General features: G+C 47.0%; 1 protein-coding gene across 6 annotated transcripts in view, besides 5 other annotated features; it reads right to left on the bottom strand.

The window, feature by feature from the left end:
* IGSF3 (immunoglobulin superfamily member 3) overlaps nt 1-17,132 on the bottom strand; it is a 93,358-nt gene that overhangs the window by 56,819 nt on the left and 19,407 nt on the right. The gene's annotated exons all lie outside the window — the stretch shown is intronic.
* Nucleotides 10,983-11,668: an enhancer, noted in NCBI's record as "NANOG-H3K4me1 hESC enhancer chr1:117184821-117185506 (GRCh37/hg19 assembly coordinates)". NCBI's record gives its function as "activates a minimal SCP1, AML or CMV promoter by ChIP-STARR-seq in primed H9 embryonic stem cells {active_cell/tissue: H9 hESC(primed)}" and the evidence as "EXISTENCE:reporter gene assay evidence [ECO:0000049][PMID:30033119]".
* Nucleotides 11,669-12,352: an enhancer, noted in NCBI's record as "NANOG-H3K27ac-H3K4me1 hESC enhancer chr1:117185507-117186190 (GRCh37/hg19 assembly coordinates)". NCBI's record gives its function as "activates a minimal SCP1, AML or CMV promoter by ChIP-STARR-seq in naive H9 embryonic stem cells {active_cell/tissue: H9 hESC(naive)}" and the evidence as "EXISTENCE:reporter gene assay evidence [ECO:0000049][PMID:30033119]".
* Nucleotides 14,242-14,973: an enhancer, noted in NCBI's record as "H3K27ac-H3K4me1 hESC enhancer chr1:117188080-117188811 (GRCh37/hg19 assembly coordinates)". NCBI's record gives its function as "activates a minimal SCP1, AML or CMV promoter by ChIP-STARR-seq in naive H9 embryonic stem cells {active_cell/tissue: H9 hESC(naive)}" and the evidence as "EXISTENCE:reporter gene assay evidence [ECO:0000049][PMID:30033119]".
* Nucleotides 14,974-15,704: an enhancer, noted in NCBI's record as "NANOG-H3K27ac-H3K4me1 hESC enhancer chr1:117188812-117189542 (GRCh37/hg19 assembly coordinates)". NCBI's record gives its function as "activates a minimal SCP1, AML or CMV promoter by ChIP-STARR-seq in primed H9 embryonic stem cells {active_cell/tissue: H9 hESC(primed)}" and the evidence as "EXISTENCE:reporter gene assay evidence [ECO:0000049][PMID:30033119]".
* Nucleotides 15,705-16,435: an enhancer, noted in NCBI's record as "NANOG-H3K27ac-H3K4me1 hESC enhancer chr1:117189543-117190273 (GRCh37/hg19 assembly coordinates)". NCBI's record gives its function as "activates a minimal SCP1, AML or CMV promoter by ChIP-STARR-seq in primed H9 embryonic stem cells {active_cell/tissue: H9 hESC(primed)}" and the evidence as "EXISTENCE:reporter gene assay evidence [ECO:0000049][PMID:30033119]".

Here is a 17,132-nt window from a genome sequence, read left to right on the forward strand (position 1 = left end):
CTGAGGCAGGAGAATGGCGTGAACCCAGGAGGCGGAGCTTGCAGTGAGCCGAGATCGCACCACTGCACTCCAGCCTGGGCGACAGAGCCAGACGCTGTCTCAAAAAAAAAAAAAAAAAAAAAAAAGAGCATGGGCTTTGAACTATGAGCAGTGGAGAGCCACTGGGGGTGTAAATAAGGAAACAGATATTCCAAATCCTGCCTTGGGAAGATTGTTCTGGCAGAAGTGATGGGAAAGGGGCCCTGGCAGAAGATTCCTTCATGGTCCTGCGGTGATCCAGGTGAGAGCTGCTGAGGACCCCAACCAAATCAGATCACTGGACCTCCACTGGGAGTGAAAGGGGGTGGTCTGGCCAGAGAGATAGTAAAGAGATGTAGTTAACAGGCAAGAGAATGTGGGGATATCCAGGTAGCTGTCCACAATTCCCAGGTCTTAGGCAACTACTGGGGAGAAGTTGATGAGGTCATCACTGGACAGAGAATCTATTCCCTGGGCCCAACCAACTCTCTAGACCATCCTGCCATGTGCCTCTGAGAAGTGATCTTCCCCAGCCAGCCCACAGGAGGACATAGGGAGCAAAGGTCAACAGTCACTCAGCTGATGGATGGCAAGCATTCAGATGGGAGGTGCCTCCAAAGGCCATGATAACCCATGGATCGATTTGAGAAAGATGCCAGAAAACAGTTAATTCAAGGCCACTTTAAAATACCTGGCATTCAATCCTCCTCAACGTCTCCATCAACTGCAGACCCTATAACTCCCAAATAAGCTCCACTCGCCACAAAGTTCAAGACACAGAAACGGTCACTGAGAGCAGAGCCTATTCCTGAAAAGCAAAAGACTCCAAACTTGCACAACTCAACCAGTGAAGGGCTGGGGAAGACTGACAAGTTCACTAAGAAATGAGAGGAAGGACAAACAAGATGTTCAAATTAGAAAATGATTCCATTAATGAGGGCTCTGATGATATAGTTGTGGAGGTTATCAGTTTGCCAGAGCTGCAGATTTAAAATACTTGCATGGTAATCGAAACCAGAAAATGCTGACCATCCCCCAAAACCTCCCACCCCACCTAGTGCTGATAACAGGAGTTATCAGTTGCTTTTTGTGCACAGCCAGATGAGATATGGATCTGTGGGGGGAAGAAGGGGTGGGCGTGCTAGCATCTCTCAGCTAGACTGTCATTGGATGGTGACATTCCCCAGGACTCAAGCAGCATCTGAGAAGCCACTTTCAACATAACTATGGAACAGCTAACCACACAACGCAGCATACTGAATGAGAAGCCTCGCAGGCAGAGAAGAAAGCAAACCTGGAAGGCAACAAATGGACACGTGCGTGCTGAAGGACTCGTGTTTAATTCTTCCCAGTAATCCTTTTTCAGGCATATATTTTTGTCTCCTCAAACTTAAGAAAAGCATTAAAGGAAATCCATGCTCTGGAGGGGAGAAAGAGAGGCTGTACTCATTAACTCAGAGCTGACCTCGTCTGGCAGGATTAACTAGCCATACCTGTCCAGCCCACAGAGCCTGGCCTGGAGCATGAGGGAGAACCACAGCCAACTCCAGAAAAATAAAAGGCTGCAGCGAGAAACAAGTGGGGCCACAGAGAGAAAGGGGTTTTGAAAAAGTTCTAAATCTCCATGGCTAGGGACAGTGACATCAGTGTGTTTACCAAGCATTTGATTTACTTGCTCAGGCAAAATTCCAGAAGAGACACTGGGACCTGTGTGGAGAGTTTCTTCACTGCAGCTATCCTGCCAGGCTCATTGTAAAGTGACGAATTTTGTGGACACTTACAGAGAAAAAAATAGCTTCAAATGCTATATAGACCAATGCTGCACGCTGCAGAGACACAGTCTTTGGGTTCTGTGAGCTGTATTTGGGCTTTATGCAGAGTTCAGCTGCCATCTGTCCCTTTGAAGGCCAGCTAAGAAGTTGGTCCCAGCCTGGGCATGGTACCACTGTCCTACATTCCAGCCATTTGGGATGTCCTGGGTTCAACCATTCCCACCCACTGCCGGATCAAGCACTTCCCACCTCCTGCTCTGGGAAATCAGATCTCAGTAGGTCATCAACCATTCCAGGAAGTCCAGCAGAGTTGGTTTTGGTTTGGGGGTGTTTTTTGAGTTGGGTGGAAGAAGAGACCTTACATAATCTTTTAACTTTTTCTCTAAGGCTGATTCCCTATAAGCAAAATTTTAAAATTTTTTTTAAAGAAGAAAAACACCTAGACAATCCTTAAAATCCCCTTTCAGCTCCAAGACTGTGTAATTCTGTGATACCAGTATTGAAAGCCCCTGCATTTCCCTAACTATATATTCCCCTATGCCATGGAAAGGTGCATGTAAGTGAGAGAACAAAAAATTTCACAATCATGGGGACCTCTTCTTTCAGCTTTGGAGCCCCCTTCCCTCTGTCTCTGTATGGGGCAGCTTTTTCCTTCTGTCTTCTCCCTTCCTTCTTGTCTACTAAACTCTCTGTGCCTTAGAACCAAAAATAAAAAATAAAAATTCAAAATCATGATCTTAGGGGTGAAAGAACACTGAGAAACCATAGAAAGCAAAAATGAAAAGCCAACATAGAAAAAGTCTGACTTGAATTAGAAGCAGCACTTAAAATTACAGGTTCAGAAAAAGCTTGAACAGAATCCAGGGCTGAGGTCAGCCCTGAGTCTGTAGGCTCTGCCCTCTCACAAAGGTGAGTAGATGGGTCTGGAGAGGGCTGTTCATGCTATGGAAGGGCCTCTATGCCATCGAGGCTAAAACCAAAGCAGGAGCAAATCAGCCCTGCTAATGTGTACAGTCAGCATCAAAGAGGTAACAATGGTAGAGAATATTTTCTGAAAGACACACATGAAACCAGTAACGGTGATGGTCTCTGGAAGAATTAGGTCAGAAGCAGACTTAATTTGCACTGTGTACATCCTTCGGTATCCTTTTTAATTGAACACATGTGAATGTATTACCTATTCGAAAAACAAATGAGTAAAAACACATGCCACGACAAGGCAAAATGAGGAGACAGTATAAAAAAGACAAGGATAATTTTAAATTTCTCCTAATAAAACGCTGTTTAAAAATCTAAGAGGAAAAAAGGGTAGGCTCCAGCTAGCGGAGAGAACAACTAAAAAACAAGAGCCACGTGTTCCCATGGTCCTGGCCAACCCCACTTCTTTCCCATCCTCACTCGTTCACATCTGCCTTGGAGCACCCACAGCAAGCCTGGCTTCATGCCCAGAACATCACCTGGCTTTCCTCCTCTCTCCCTGCCCACATCTCCTCAGTCACTCGCTGCCTCCTCTCTTGCTTCTCTCCCAGTTCTCAGTTTGCCCATCAAATCTCAGGTGGCACTCTCCATTCCCTGCTATGAGGGAGTTCATTTGTTCATGCAATTTCCCCACCTGAGACAAAATGTATTTCCCAAAGTTGGCTTGCAATGACATCTCCCGTGCCTGCTCTGCTTACCCATGGCTTTGACACTCCTTCCATCGAGAGGGCAGAACCTGTGTTTCCTCTCCCTGAATCTAGGTGGGCTACAGCTCTGGTAGAAGTGACACTCTGTGACCTTAAGGCTAGGTCACAAACAGGGAACGCAGCTTCTGCCAGCTCTCCTGGGACACACATTTGGAGCCTGAGTTGCGGTGTAAGCCATCTGCCTGCTCCGAGCCCGCCACACTATAAGGAAGCCCAAGCTACCCCACAGGAGAGACAAGGTGAAGAGAATGAGATGCCAGTCTCCACTGCTCCAGTTGTCTAGTGTCCCAGCCCCAACCACCATCTGACTGTAACCCCATGAAAGACTGAGCCAGAACCACGAGCCCAGCCCTTCCTGATGTTGACATACAGACTTCATGAAAGAGAATAAACTAATTTTTGCTTTAAGCCACTATGATTCGGGATGATCTGTTATGCAGCACTGGATAACTGCAACACCTGCTTCTAAACAGTAGAATCCCAAATGTCTAGGCCCCATCTGTAACTTACTTCATGTTCCTATTCTCACTGATTTTTTGCCACTGAGCTTGACCAAGCCCTTGAGTCACCAATTCCAGATATCTGTTTAAACAAATTCACTGTGACGGTCCACACTGTCTATTCCTCCAAAACAATCCCTGTTATAGTTGGCCTTCCCCAGTTCTCTTCCTGGCATAGAGTAGTCCGTGCCCTTCTCTCATTTCTTAATATGACCCTCACCCATGGAGTGTCCCTAGATTCTGCTCATTCATAATACTTCTTCACCCACCCTAACCTCTCCCTCCTGTAGCCACAGATTGTCCACTTTTCCAGGCCTCTGCACTGGAGGCTGCATCAGCCACCTCCCAGTACATCATCCTTTCCAATGCCCTACAACACGGGGCAGACAGGACTCTTTTTTGCTGCACATCCAGGCTGTTTAAGAAAAGGCTTAAGGCAGCTTAAGCACAAAGAATGTCATCTTCAAACATTGTAATGGCATCTTCTTGTTGGGACACTGAAGTATTCCCATGATTCCAAGAATCAAATGAACAACATCTGGTTATGGGGTCTCTGGTCTCTGCCAAGGCAAACTCATAAAGCATTTCAAAGCCCTTCATCTGGAAAGGCCTTTTCTCCACCCCACACCCAGCCAATGCCCACTCATACTTTAAGGCCCAGCTCATCCGTCATCTCTGCTAGGGAACCTTCCTCAGTGCCTTATGCAGGCAACCATTCCTGCCTTGTGTTGTGTGAGTGCCTTAAGTCAAATCCTTAACTCATCTTTGTGTGTCCCCTTGCATTTCAGACAGTAGGTGCCCAATAAGTGTTTGTGGGATGAATCAACCGGTTATTCTCCTGAACACCCTTTCCCAGTACACCTCCACTCGCCAGAACAACTGTCTTCCTCACAGGTGCCAGCCATCACCCCGACCACACCCTCTCAAAAGGCCTTTGCCAGTCATCAAACAAAGCCTCTTGTCTCCTGAGAGCCGCTCCACAATCACCTTCCCAAGAAGAATTCCCCATACCGAGTCTACCATTCCTTCCCTGATCAAAGTTGCTTTCACAGGCATCTGTTCAGCTATCCACTCTTCACGGCTTGGTTTTCATGCACTCTGAGTTGGCCCTATCTCCCCTTTTTGGCCTCAAGCACATCACGAGGAAGGCTGGTGACAACCTTTCCTGAGCTTAGGACAGTTTTCATGCAAACTGGTTCTTCCAGGTTCTTATGCCTGGAAGAACTGCTGCTCTCCAATAGCATGAAGTAGACAATGATGTTCTTAGCATCCAGTCTTAAAACTAGAAAAAGTATTGGCACTGCTGGATCCCCAGCTCCTAGAATGGTGTGTGGCACCTGAACAGACCTCAAAAATATTAGTTGAGTGGAGGAAAGAATGAACAGTCATCTGGCCCAGACTTGGAGAAGCTGTGATCTGTCTAGCCCTTCTACACCAGGAGCGAGGCCTGAAAAGCTGCATGACTCACCCAAGGTCACGAGCAAGCCAGTGAAGAGGGGCTGGAACCCTGTCTTTTGCCTCGAAGCACAGGGCCCTCCTTCTGTCCCACCCAGCTTTCTCACCACCCACCCCACCCCTTCCACACTCCAAAGACAGCATCTCCGCGAGAAGTGTTGGGCAGTGTCCAGGAGTGTTTTTCTTCCTGGCTTTAAAACAAATTGTGACAAATGGCTCCACAGATCTACCGGGCCATGGAGCTGAGCAGATGGGACTGCAATTCACACTATTAACTCAAATTCTACTTGACATTCTTTCAAATCAGGGCATTTTATCTAGAAATTATAAAAAATTGTTGGGGGAGTACATTTGTAAGGAAGTTTGCCAGCAGATTCATTTACAAATCGACTTGTTCCTGGCCACCCTCACTGATCACAGACTTTTACTCACGCTCCCTTACTCTCTCCCATCAACGAGTCCAGCGCATGCAGAGAGTGATGGAATCTTGAGGCCCACTGGTCTAACCACTCACCTAAGCTTGACTCCCCTGTGCCTGTGGACATCCTGCGTGCAGATAGATGCACATTCCCACTAATGGCAGCCAGGGGAAAGCACTATTCGAAAGTTCTTCTTTACTTTGAACTGAAATTGGGCTCAGGGGTCCTGGATACAGGACAACCCCAATCTCTTATTTATTCAATGGACAACAGGTGAGCACATACTAGGCCTGGACACTGATGTAGGTAGGCACTAAAGCTTCAGAGAGATGCAGATGAACAATCTTTACCCTGAAGGAGCTCATGTTCTATGGGTTCATTTCCTTTCCCTGTGTCTTACAAACAGGTTCCAGTTTGTTTCCGTCCTTCAGAGTGTACTGCCTAGAACTGCATGCTTTTCTCCACAAGTGGCCTGACCAGCTTGTGGACAAGGATGAAGCAAGCAGACGACCTTCTTTCAGTGCAGACAAGATGGCTGTTTAGAGGCCACATCACATGGCAGACACCTGCCAACTAAAACCCTCCATCCTTCCCACGGCCTCCCCCTCCTACACTTTGCAGCTGGATTCAAAACCTTGCATTCACCCTTGTTCCATCAACAGGGCCAGACCATCAGTCTATCTCATCCAGACTGTTTTTTATCTTACTTGCCAACCTACACACTTGCTGTTCCTTCTTGCCTTAAAGTCATACAGATGACTTTCGATGATTCAGATGAGTGTGACCTCTACTTTCACCAAACACAACAGTCAATTCAGAAAGGTCAAGGACAGAACCCTCCAGCATGCTAATGAAGCCAAAGAAGTCTGAAAACAATACTTGGCCACACTGTTTTCCTGCTTAGGGATGGGGACTGCTCTTGTCCTGCCTATAAGTATATCGGATCGCTCTCCTTCTTGCTGGCATCCACAGTAACTATACTCAATAAACACACCAACTTTGATGCCAAATCCCATGCCATCCCACACATCTTAAAAATAAACCAAAAATGTGTTATTCCAGCTACCCTCACTCTTTTTGTGGTTTCCTGCAGTCTAACTAGCTACAAATCTCAAAGCCAAAGATTGTAGCTCCCTCTCTTTTGTTCTTTCATCAAGCCAGGGACTCCTGCTCCTCTCTCCCTAGTCTCTCCTGTGTCACTGCCACTTGTCAACTGCCTAATCCAGCCACGCTGTTCTTCAATTTTAAAGGTCTTCAGCATATTTTAAAATTAGTCTCCTACTGCTACTCTTTTCCCTACTCTTGCCAGTCCACTCAGTAAACTACTGCCATACAGGTCTCCCACAGCAGTTTCTCACCAGATAAACAAATGGCCAGAGATTCCACTTTGCCAATCACATCAAGTCCAAACTCCGTGTCTTGGTATCCAAGGCTTCAAAAGTCTGGCCCCATTCCACCTACTCAGTCTGACACCCACCACTCCCTCCAAACATCCCCGGTACGTCTTACTGGATTTTGCCATTTCCCCCAAGTCGACCAGGAGTCATTCACACCTAAAGGCTATGCTTACATCGTTTTCCATCTCTTGTGTTGGTGAGCTAAAAACAAGATGGAAAAGAAAAGAGAAGAGGAAGAGAGAAAAAGAGAAAGGGAAGAAATGGGGAAAACAGCAATAGGACCAGCTAACTCCTACAGCAGAGTCTTGCCAGGCCCTCCCCTAATTGCTCTATATGTGTTACAATGTTTAACCCTCACAACTACAACAGGAGGTGGGTACCATTCCATCCCCACCTGCAGATGAGTATGGCACCCCAAGGTTAAGTATCTGCCCAGGGTCACGTGCAAAGTCTGCATGCATGCTGAACCATTCCAGCTGCGCCACTGCCCAGGAAAAAAGTCACAGGTAGGAAGACAAGCATAGAATTAAGAACAAAGCAACTAACTGTACCAGGTGCTATGGAAGGGTGGTCAGCCTGGAAAATCAGGAGGGCATTCCTTGGGAGACTGCCACAATCAGAGTCTGGGAGTATGCAGGAGCCTGGCAGGCAGCCCAGGGACAGGTGAGGCACAGGCACTCATTCCCTTCCATGTGAGAAGTCAGGGCACGTGCAAAGCCAAGGCCAGAGGACAAAGGTGAGCTCGCCAATAGGGCCAATACTGGGTCTGGCTGGAAGGGGAGGGTGGACAGAGATGGGTACTAAGAAGTGAAGATGGACAGGCAGGACCAGGTCTTAAAGGGTTTGTGTCTTGCTAAAGATGGACCCTTAATTCCGTGAAACATCTATTCAACCACTCCTCATTTTCTACCTAAATTCTACTGTGCCTTTGCAAAGCCCAGCTCAAGTCCTTTTTCCTTTCAGGCCTGTCCTCCCTACTCCTAAGCAAACCACAGGTGTGGAGACAGGTCCCAACCACCTGCAGATGACAGAAGGAAGCTGCATCTGGGATCAGTCTACACAGAGGCAAGAAGGGATCCTCCTCCTCTGCCTTCTCCTTTCATGCTCTTCTTACCTTCTCTCAAAAAGAAAGAAAATACAGTGCCATTGCTTCTTCCCTAAGCTTGTTAAGTCAAAGCAAGTCAAAGCATTAGAGCTTCATTACTTGGCTTTTTCTAGCTATAAGTGTCTGGAAAATATCAGGAGTCACTGGCCTCTAGGAATCCATTAAGTTAAAGGAGCTCCATGATCTACTATCATAAGATGACAAAGAAAATATGCACTTTCTTTGGGAGGCCAAGTTGGGCGAATCACTTGAGGTCAGGAGTTCAAGACCAATCTGGCCAACACGGTGAAACCCCGTCTCTACTGAAAACACAAAAATTAGCTGGGCTTGGTGGCAGGCACCTGTAACCCCAGCTACTCAGGAGGCTGAGGCAGGAGAATCACTTGAACCCTTACCCAGGAGACAGAGGTTGCAATGAGCCGAGATGGCACCGCGGCACTCCAGCCTGAGCAACAGCGTGACTCTATCTCAAAAAAAAAAAAAAAAAAAAGAAAGAAAGAAAGAAAGGAAGGAAGAAGAAAATATGCATTTTCTCAGGATTAAATAACAAAAAATGCCAAGTTTCTTAGCTCCAGTCAAGAAAATGACATCACATGACAACAGCAGCCATTGCAAGTTTATCAGAAGATGGACAATTACAGATTTTTCATTTCTGAATAAGGAACCATTTACACAGACACATGTATAACAAATGCCTGTGCACATCCAGGACTTGTCAAATCTTAACATTTTGCCACACCTGGTTTAGTTTTTTTATTTTCCTTTCAAGAAAGAAAGCATTACAGGCTGTGCTTCAATCCCTATTTCACCCCCTTTCAAGCCCCACTATTCCACCCATCCCAGAAATGACAACATCCCAAATTTGGTATTTATCACTCTTGCACATTTTTATGCTTTTACTACCTATGTATGTAGCCATAAACAATATACAGAGTTTTTGGATGCTTTAAAACTGTTTAAAATGGCATCACACTGTATGCACCCTTTTGCATCTTTTTTTATTGACAAAACATTTTTGAGGGTAATCCTTGTTGACATATGTCACTCCAGGGCATTCATTTCAACTGCTTTATACCATGGTCCACTGTCTGAATAATCATTATCTATAGCACAATGTATTCATTTTCCTACTGATAAATTTTTAAGTGGTTTCCAACTTTTTATTGCAATAAATATTCTTGTAAATCTTCATCCAAGGGTATCTTCAACCACACTAGGCATTGCCCAAATTGCTCTGCAACATCAGTGCACCAATTTACATTGCCAAGATCAATGTTTAAGTGTTTCTATTCTTTGATGCCTTTGTCAACCTTGGTACTATTTGACTATTACACTTTTCACCAATCAGATATAAGGATGAAATGGTGCCTTCTTGGTATTCTGAAAATTAATTTTAAATGGGAAAATAAATTACTAGTAAGTGCAGCTTAATCAACAAGAGTTTTCATTAACACGTGGGAATACACCAGGTGTTCCTCGGATTTTCTTGAAAATTCTACAGGGAGGGTAGGGGAGTGATGGTACAGATAAGATTGGACATGAGCTGATAATTGTTGGAACTAGGTGGTGAGTGTATGGGGGTTAATTATCCTGTTCTCTCCACTTCGGTACATATTTGAAACTTTTCACAATAGAAAATTAAAAGAAGAACGGGGCGTGGTGGCTCACGCCTGTAATTCCAGCACTTTGGAAGGCCATGGCAGAGGATCACTTGAGGTCAGGAATTAAAGACCAGCTGGTCAACATGGGGAAAACCCACCTCTACTAAAAATACAAAAATTAGCCGGGTATGGTGGCGTGTACCTGTAATCCCAGCTACTGAGGAGGCTGAGGCATGAGAATCGCTTGGACCCAGGAGGCAGAGGTTGCAGTGAGCCAAGATTGTGCCACTGCACTCTAGCATGGGCAACAGGGCAAGACTCTGTCTCAAAAAAAAAAAAAAAAAAAAAAAAGAAGAAGAAAGAAAAGAAAAGAAAGAAAGAAAAAGAAAGAAGGAAAGAAAGAAAATTAAAAGAAGGAAATGCCATAAAGCATCAGGAGCAAAGAACATCCAAAGAAGAGCACTGATCACTGCAGCAGACAGCCGTTCAGAACAGGCAGAGAGCAGAGCTGGCAGGAAGAGAGAACAAAAGGAAGACCAGGAAGGGAAGCCAGGAAAAGAGATTTTGCACTGTGTTATTATTTCAATCAGAAGACTTAGGAACATTATTTAATTATCAAATTCGTGTGTCTGATGATCCTTTACAACACTGTAGCACCTAATAAAGTGTTATCAGATTTCTTTCTTTTTTTTTTTTTTGAGACTGGGTCTGATTCTGTAGCCCAGGCTGGAGTGCAGGGGTATAATAATAGCTCACTGCAGCTTCAAACTCCTGAGTTTTTTTGGTTTGTTTGTTTGTTTGTTTGGAGAGACAGTGTCTCGAACTCCTGGGCTCCAGTGATCCTCCCACCTCAGCCTCCCAAAGTGCTAGGATTACAAGCATGAGCCACTGTGCCCCAGCCCAACATCAGATTTCAAAAGTACTACTGATATTATTATCACCATTAAAAATCACTGAAGTTTTTGTCACCCAAAGTTTTACTTTGAAATATAGAACATTTCATTTTTTTCCCACACACCTCGCATCTGATTTTTGATTTTTAACATGTGCATGGATTACCTCTTATTAGAAAAAAAAACACGAAATTTTTTGGTAAAAGAATTATCCTTAAGTGGGTATTTTTTCCCTAAGTCTGAAATGACTTAGTAAGGATAAGAGGTCAAATCATATGCTTTGTAGTGAAACTGGAACTATGATGAATAACATTAGAATTCTGGATGCCTTCCAGCAGCTGGAACAGGGCAGACCTGAGGCGGGAGTCCCCACGCTTAGGGGAAGGGGCTCAGGCACTGGGAGTCGGTCAGGGCTCCCAGAATGTAAAAGATACACATGAAAGAAACAAACAGTGGGACTCGGGCCAGAGCAAAATTTGGCCTAGAACGGAGCTAAAAACTGTCATAGTGGTGGGAAGAAGCAGATTGGTTCAACAGGGTAACCAAATGTGAAAAAGAAAAGCCTCACAAGAATTAAAATTGATGGTTGGAACTGGGCGCTCCGAGGCTGTGGGCCGGTGTCCTGCCCTGAAGAGCTTGGCTGCCAGCAGGTGCAGCGCTGCCCTGGGATACCAGCTCCTGGGATGCGCTGTAGTATCATCAATCACCGCTGCTGCTCGCTGGGACTTGGAAGCACACAGTAGTAGCAGATGTCAGCAGGGGGCCACCAGGGCCACCTGCCAGTGAGCCCACTGCTTAGCTGAGTCATGGTCAGGTTTCTCTGCAGATTGTTGCCTGAAAATATTTCACCACCTGGAACCTCCCTGTCCCACCCATCTTCACTTGCAATACTCACTCCCCTCACCTCTGCCCCTAAAGCAATTATTCATTAACCACAGGGATCCACCATCCAGGAACAAAAGAGGCTGCAAAGCTCTATCTATGCCTGCACTTCTTGGTCCAAAAGGCGCAGGGGGATGGGGGAGAGGCACCAGGGTCATGGTGCAGGCTCCGCTGTTGAGTCTCATTCCCCAAACACAATGTGACAGGTATCAATAGTTCTGGAGTTGATCATTTCACAGAAAGGAAACTGCTATCAACCTGTCTGAGGCCACACAGCTAGTCCTGGATAAAGTGACTTAAAGAACCCAGGTCTCTGATTCCCAAATCAGTGCTCTTACCCCTCCCACGCCACCTCTCTCTTCTAAAGATCCACCCAACGGAACTGCCCCAGGGCTGGTATCCCAGCTACTTCTCCATTCATGCCGCAGGTCAATGATTCAGGGCGGACACTCCTCAAGTGACCTTCAGAGGCCCTGACTCACTCCTCCGACAGTCGTTTGTGTCTGGACTCCCAGCTGCTCCTCAGCAGCTCTGTCCTCCTTTGTACATTTATTACTGTCAGCCTGAGGCTAGCAGGAGGTCTCAATGCCTGGTGATCTGAGGCCAGCCTGTGGCCAGCCTGTCCCAGGCCCTCCCAGTCCCGTGAGGTCCTCCTGGGGATGCAGGCACAGCGACTGACAAGGATGAGGAGCAGAAGGGCAGGTGGCTTCCTGGGTGTGAGCTTGGCCTTCTGCCACGCCCATGCTCAGGTGTCTACGGGCACGTCTTGTGTTGTCACAGGTGTAGAAAGGGCTTTGACATGCGACAGATCCTCCGATCCCTGTGAAAGAGGGATCATTGTTTCTATTCTACAGTGAGGATGCTGAAGTCCAGAAAGGTCAGGTGACTGATGAAAGGTCATAAAATTAGCAGGAATCAGGGAAAGGGCAGGAAAGCAGAGCTTCCAGTTGCAAGGTCAGGACTCTTCAGCCCAGCAGGCGAGTTTGCCAGCCAGTCTATGCCCTGGTCTCTGCCCTCCCCAAACACGTGCACCAATTTGGAGGGGCTGCTCCCAGCACGCATGCTGCAAGATAAACTTCAGTGCTCAGCCCTCTCACTGTGACAATCCCTTAGAAAGGGGTCCCACGCTGTCCATCTGGGCCCCTACACCAAAGAACACCTAATTATCAGTGGTCCCCACTCAGGAAACGTGCCCACAAATAAAGACAAAAGTAAACCCAACTACACATTCCTCAAAATCCTCCTCTCCATTTCACAGAAACACCACAGCAGAGCAGAACTGCAACCTGATAGCATCCCTGTCTGGTTTTGGCTCTTTCAAAACATCAGGGACCTCACAGGAAAACAATGCAGAAAACTGCAGTCATTTGGCCGCTTGTTAAGGAGAGCCCTGAGCAGCAAGCTCCAGACGGGAGATGCGCCATATAACAGCAGCAGTTCCACACAGCCCTGCACAGCAGGAATTCAGCCTCTGGCAGCCGTGATGATGCTGAGGCAGTGTCCCCACTGCCCCAGTGGCTTCTGCATGCAGGTTCATTTGGGACAGGACACCTCTAACTCCATCTCTGGCCAGGAGCCAGCATAGTAGGTGCCGTGAAAGCCAGGAAGCGAACTGCACAGAATGGACTGTTCCAGTGTCCATGGGCTGCAAGTGGGTCCCACGTCACCCACAGGTGAATCTTAATTATGAACCAAGGTGACAGCAGAGAGGATGGGCAGCAAAGGAGGGTGTGTGTGGCGATCAGCCATCAGAGGAGGCGGCCCTGTGTGATGAAAGGACCTCCTCAGGAAACCTCCCCACCAGCAACTGGCTCCAAATGGTCAGACTTCCCAAGAAATTCCTGTGAAAAGGACAGGCTCAGGGCATGTGAATGTGATAGTCAGCAATTCCCACCTCAGCAGCCAGTGACACTACGATATAGGGAAAAGAACCTAGATTAGGCATCAAAAGTACCCGGTCCCCTTCATACATGGCTGGTGGGGAGGTAGGATGGTGCAGCCACTTTGGAAAACAGTCTGGTAGTTTCTTTCAAAGTTACCAAATGACCCAGCAATCCCACTCCTAAGTATTTACCCAAGAGAAATAAAACCTGTGTCCACACAAAGACTTGTACACATCCTAATAGCTGTATTCATAGTAGCCCCAAACTGGAAACAACCCAAATGCCCATCAGTTTGTGAAGAGATGGACAAAATGTGGTATATCCATAAAACGGAACACTACTCAGCAATAAAAAGGCGTGAACTAGATATACACAAGAACATGGAGGGATCTCAAAAGCACTGTGCTGAGTGAGAGAAGCCAGATTCAAAGGGCTACACACTGTAGGATGCCATGTGCATCACATTCTGTACAGTGCAAAACTGTAGTGGCAGGATTCAGGTCCCCTGAGGCTGGGGTCCTGGAGGCAGGAAAGGGGCTGGTAGCAAGAAGGCACAAGGGAACTTTTTGGGGACAGAGGAATGGTCCATATTTGATAGGTGGTGATTATGTGGCTGCTCATGTTTGTCAACAAAGAATTACATATTTTAAACTGGTGAGTTCCGTTGTATGTAAGCAAATTATACCACAATGAAGCAAATCTTTAAAACACTAGGTTCCTTTTCCTTATCTAGAGCTCAAAGTAGTGGCCCATGCTGGCTATGACTTGGAGAAATCACATAAGCTTACTGGGTCTCAACTGCTTCATTTGTACAGGTGGCTGCATAACACTCCCCGGGCAGGGGAACTGTAGGGAGGAAATCAGAAAATGTGAGTGAACACACAGAGCAAGCAACACATAGGCCTTCCCCAAATATCCACTTCTGTTTTCTTTCCTCAGTGTGAGTAAGTGGCTCTAATGATCCACAAACCTTCCAACCAGCCAAGTCAAGGACCAGCAGGAGGACTCAGGAAAGTACTGAAATGCTGGGGAGAACCAGGACAGCGGCTGAGCACAGCCAGACAGGGAGGGCAGCCTGGTGGGGCCCTGGAAGCCATGGACGCGACTGCGCTGGGAGTGGGGATGGGAGGTAGCAGGAGTTGGTGGGTGGGGCACAAAGTGGGAGCCAGGGCCGAATTGCTGCTGATTTGACCATTTTGCAAAAGGCCAGCCTGGCTGTGGCCTCAGGCCTCTCACTTCCTCTACCCTAATGAGGGGTCATAGAAGTGCCTTCCCACAACTGCAGCATCTCCCTCCACATTTGGGCTCAAATACAGAGTGGGGCCGGAGACAGAAAAAGTCTCCGTGACACACTGTGATTTGTTTCTGCACCGTGTGAACCCTTGGCTCTGTGACACGGAACACAAGTTTCAGCAGTTCCTGTCACTTCCCACAGGCGAAACAGACAGAGCCTTCTTTTGTCCGGCTTCTGGTGAAACGCCATTATCGTTATTTTTAGGAGGAAGATGGAGAATTGGGGGGGGTCCACACAAAGAGGATGGATTCAGAAGACTTCCAGGAACCTTAAAAGCCTTGGAAACTAATTGTGCCAGTTCTTTTTGATGTCTAATTTTACTCCAAAAGTTCCTCTCAGCACAATATATTAATACTTATCAGCCAAGAGAAGGTTAGGTTTTGGCTCACAAACAGTCAAGGAGAGAATCTCCTTAATTCATTGAGAAGGCAGAAGATGGCGTTAAAGAGTATTCATAGGTAACTAAGATTGCCAGAGGGAGAATCGAGTGAGTTGTCAGCGGTGAAATACAGAGGAGGTAGAGAGAGCTACACTGAGACAACAAAGGCAGCTTAAGGGAACAAAGCCAGCTAAGGGAACAAAGCCGGGGTCCCTCAGGTCTGTGGCCACCGGCTACAGCCAGGACAGCCTGGTAGCTGAAGAGCACGTCCTTGCCTGTTACATGCCTGTGTTTCAAGTGATGCTAACTTGCTAATGCAGATGTCTCCCCAAACCCTGCCCCTGGCTCACCACCCAGTGAGCAATCACTCACTTTCCCCAGGACACCTTCAGGGAGGTACTCTGCCAGCACCGCACACTTAAACGGCTAATGCAGGTTCTTCTCTCAGACGCAGCACAGTTCCTGAGATGACGTCAGCGCTGCTTGCTGAAAGCACCAGGCAAGGAGGCAAAACAAAGGAAATCCTAAAGAGCAGGCGAGAGAACAGTGGAACTGGCAGAGAGAGGCACTGGTGCAGATGGAGAGGGCAGCAATAAAAACTGGGGGACACTTAGAGGCAAAGGTATGGCAGGTGACAAAAAAGATGAGGCTGAAGGTCAGGAGAGACCCAGGCAGCGATGCCCAAATGACCGGCTGAGGAATCACCTCACTGCTGCCGATGCCCTTGACAGCGATGTCTGAGGCTGGCGTGAGTGCTCCATGCTCAGAGATACCTAGAACCCAGCTACAATGGCCTTATCAGACTGAAACAAGAACACCAAGATATTCCAAGGGAGGTGACAATGGGGTCCAAAGGTCGTGCCTTTATGGCTCGCAACTATGTGCTGAGTGTGGCCCAAATTCCAGCTCCAAATGGTCACACCATGTCTACAGCCAATCAGCTGACCGGGGTGGCAACCCCTGGCTCTGCTCAACAATAATGACAACCACCATTTATTGAGCCCTTACTATGTGCCAGACCGATGCTAAGTGCTTTCCTCAGATGTTTCCATTTAACTCTTAAAATCACCCTAATGAGTATTTCCTATTATTTTACAGATGAGGAAATGAGAGTTTAGAAAAGTAACTTGCAAAATCATACTGCTGGCTCCATAACAAATGTTGATTGAATGTTGTCTGGGCGGACAGAGGCAAGGATGACCGGAACAAGACAAACAAACGAAAGGCCGACTGACAGACCACTCGGGTAGCACTTTTTCTGGGATTAAGCTTAGACCTTGTAGGCCTATCAGCCAGAAGCAGTGTGTAAAATAAGAGCAGCTGACTGGGCACGGTGGCTCACGCCTGTAATCCAAGCACTTTGGGAGGCCAAGGCGGGCGGATCACCTGAGGTCAGGAGTTCAAGACCAGCCTGGCCAACATGAAGAAACCCCATCTCTACTACAAATACAAAAATTAGCTGGGTGTGATGGCACACGCCTGTAATCCTAGTTACTCGGGAGGCTGAGGCAGGAGAATCGCTTGAACCTGGGAGGCAGAGGTTGCGATAAGCTGAGATTGGGCCACTGCACTCCAGCCTGGGCGACACAGCAAGACTCCCTCTCAAAAAAAGAAAAAAAAGAGTGGCTACCCAAGAACGCAACAGCAGCAGCAAACACTGATCTGATGACACCCCAGTTTTGTAGAAGAGGAAGGAAAAATAAGAATGTCAACTCTCCATTCAACAGAGAAACAGTGCCACCACTGTCTTTAAATTTTCAAACTTATCAAGAAAAGCTCCAGAGAGGACAATGCCAGCAATGCCGGCTGTCTCCCAAGTCTGAAGGGTTTTCCTCTGGGTATTAGGAGT

The sequence above is a fragment of the Homo sapiens genome, chromosome 1 (genome assembly GCF_000001405.40).
Source record: "Homo sapiens chromosome 1, GRCh38.p14 Primary Assembly".
Classification (NCBI taxonomy): domain Eukaryota; kingdom Metazoa; phylum Chordata; class Mammalia; order Primates; family Hominidae; genus Homo; species Homo sapiens.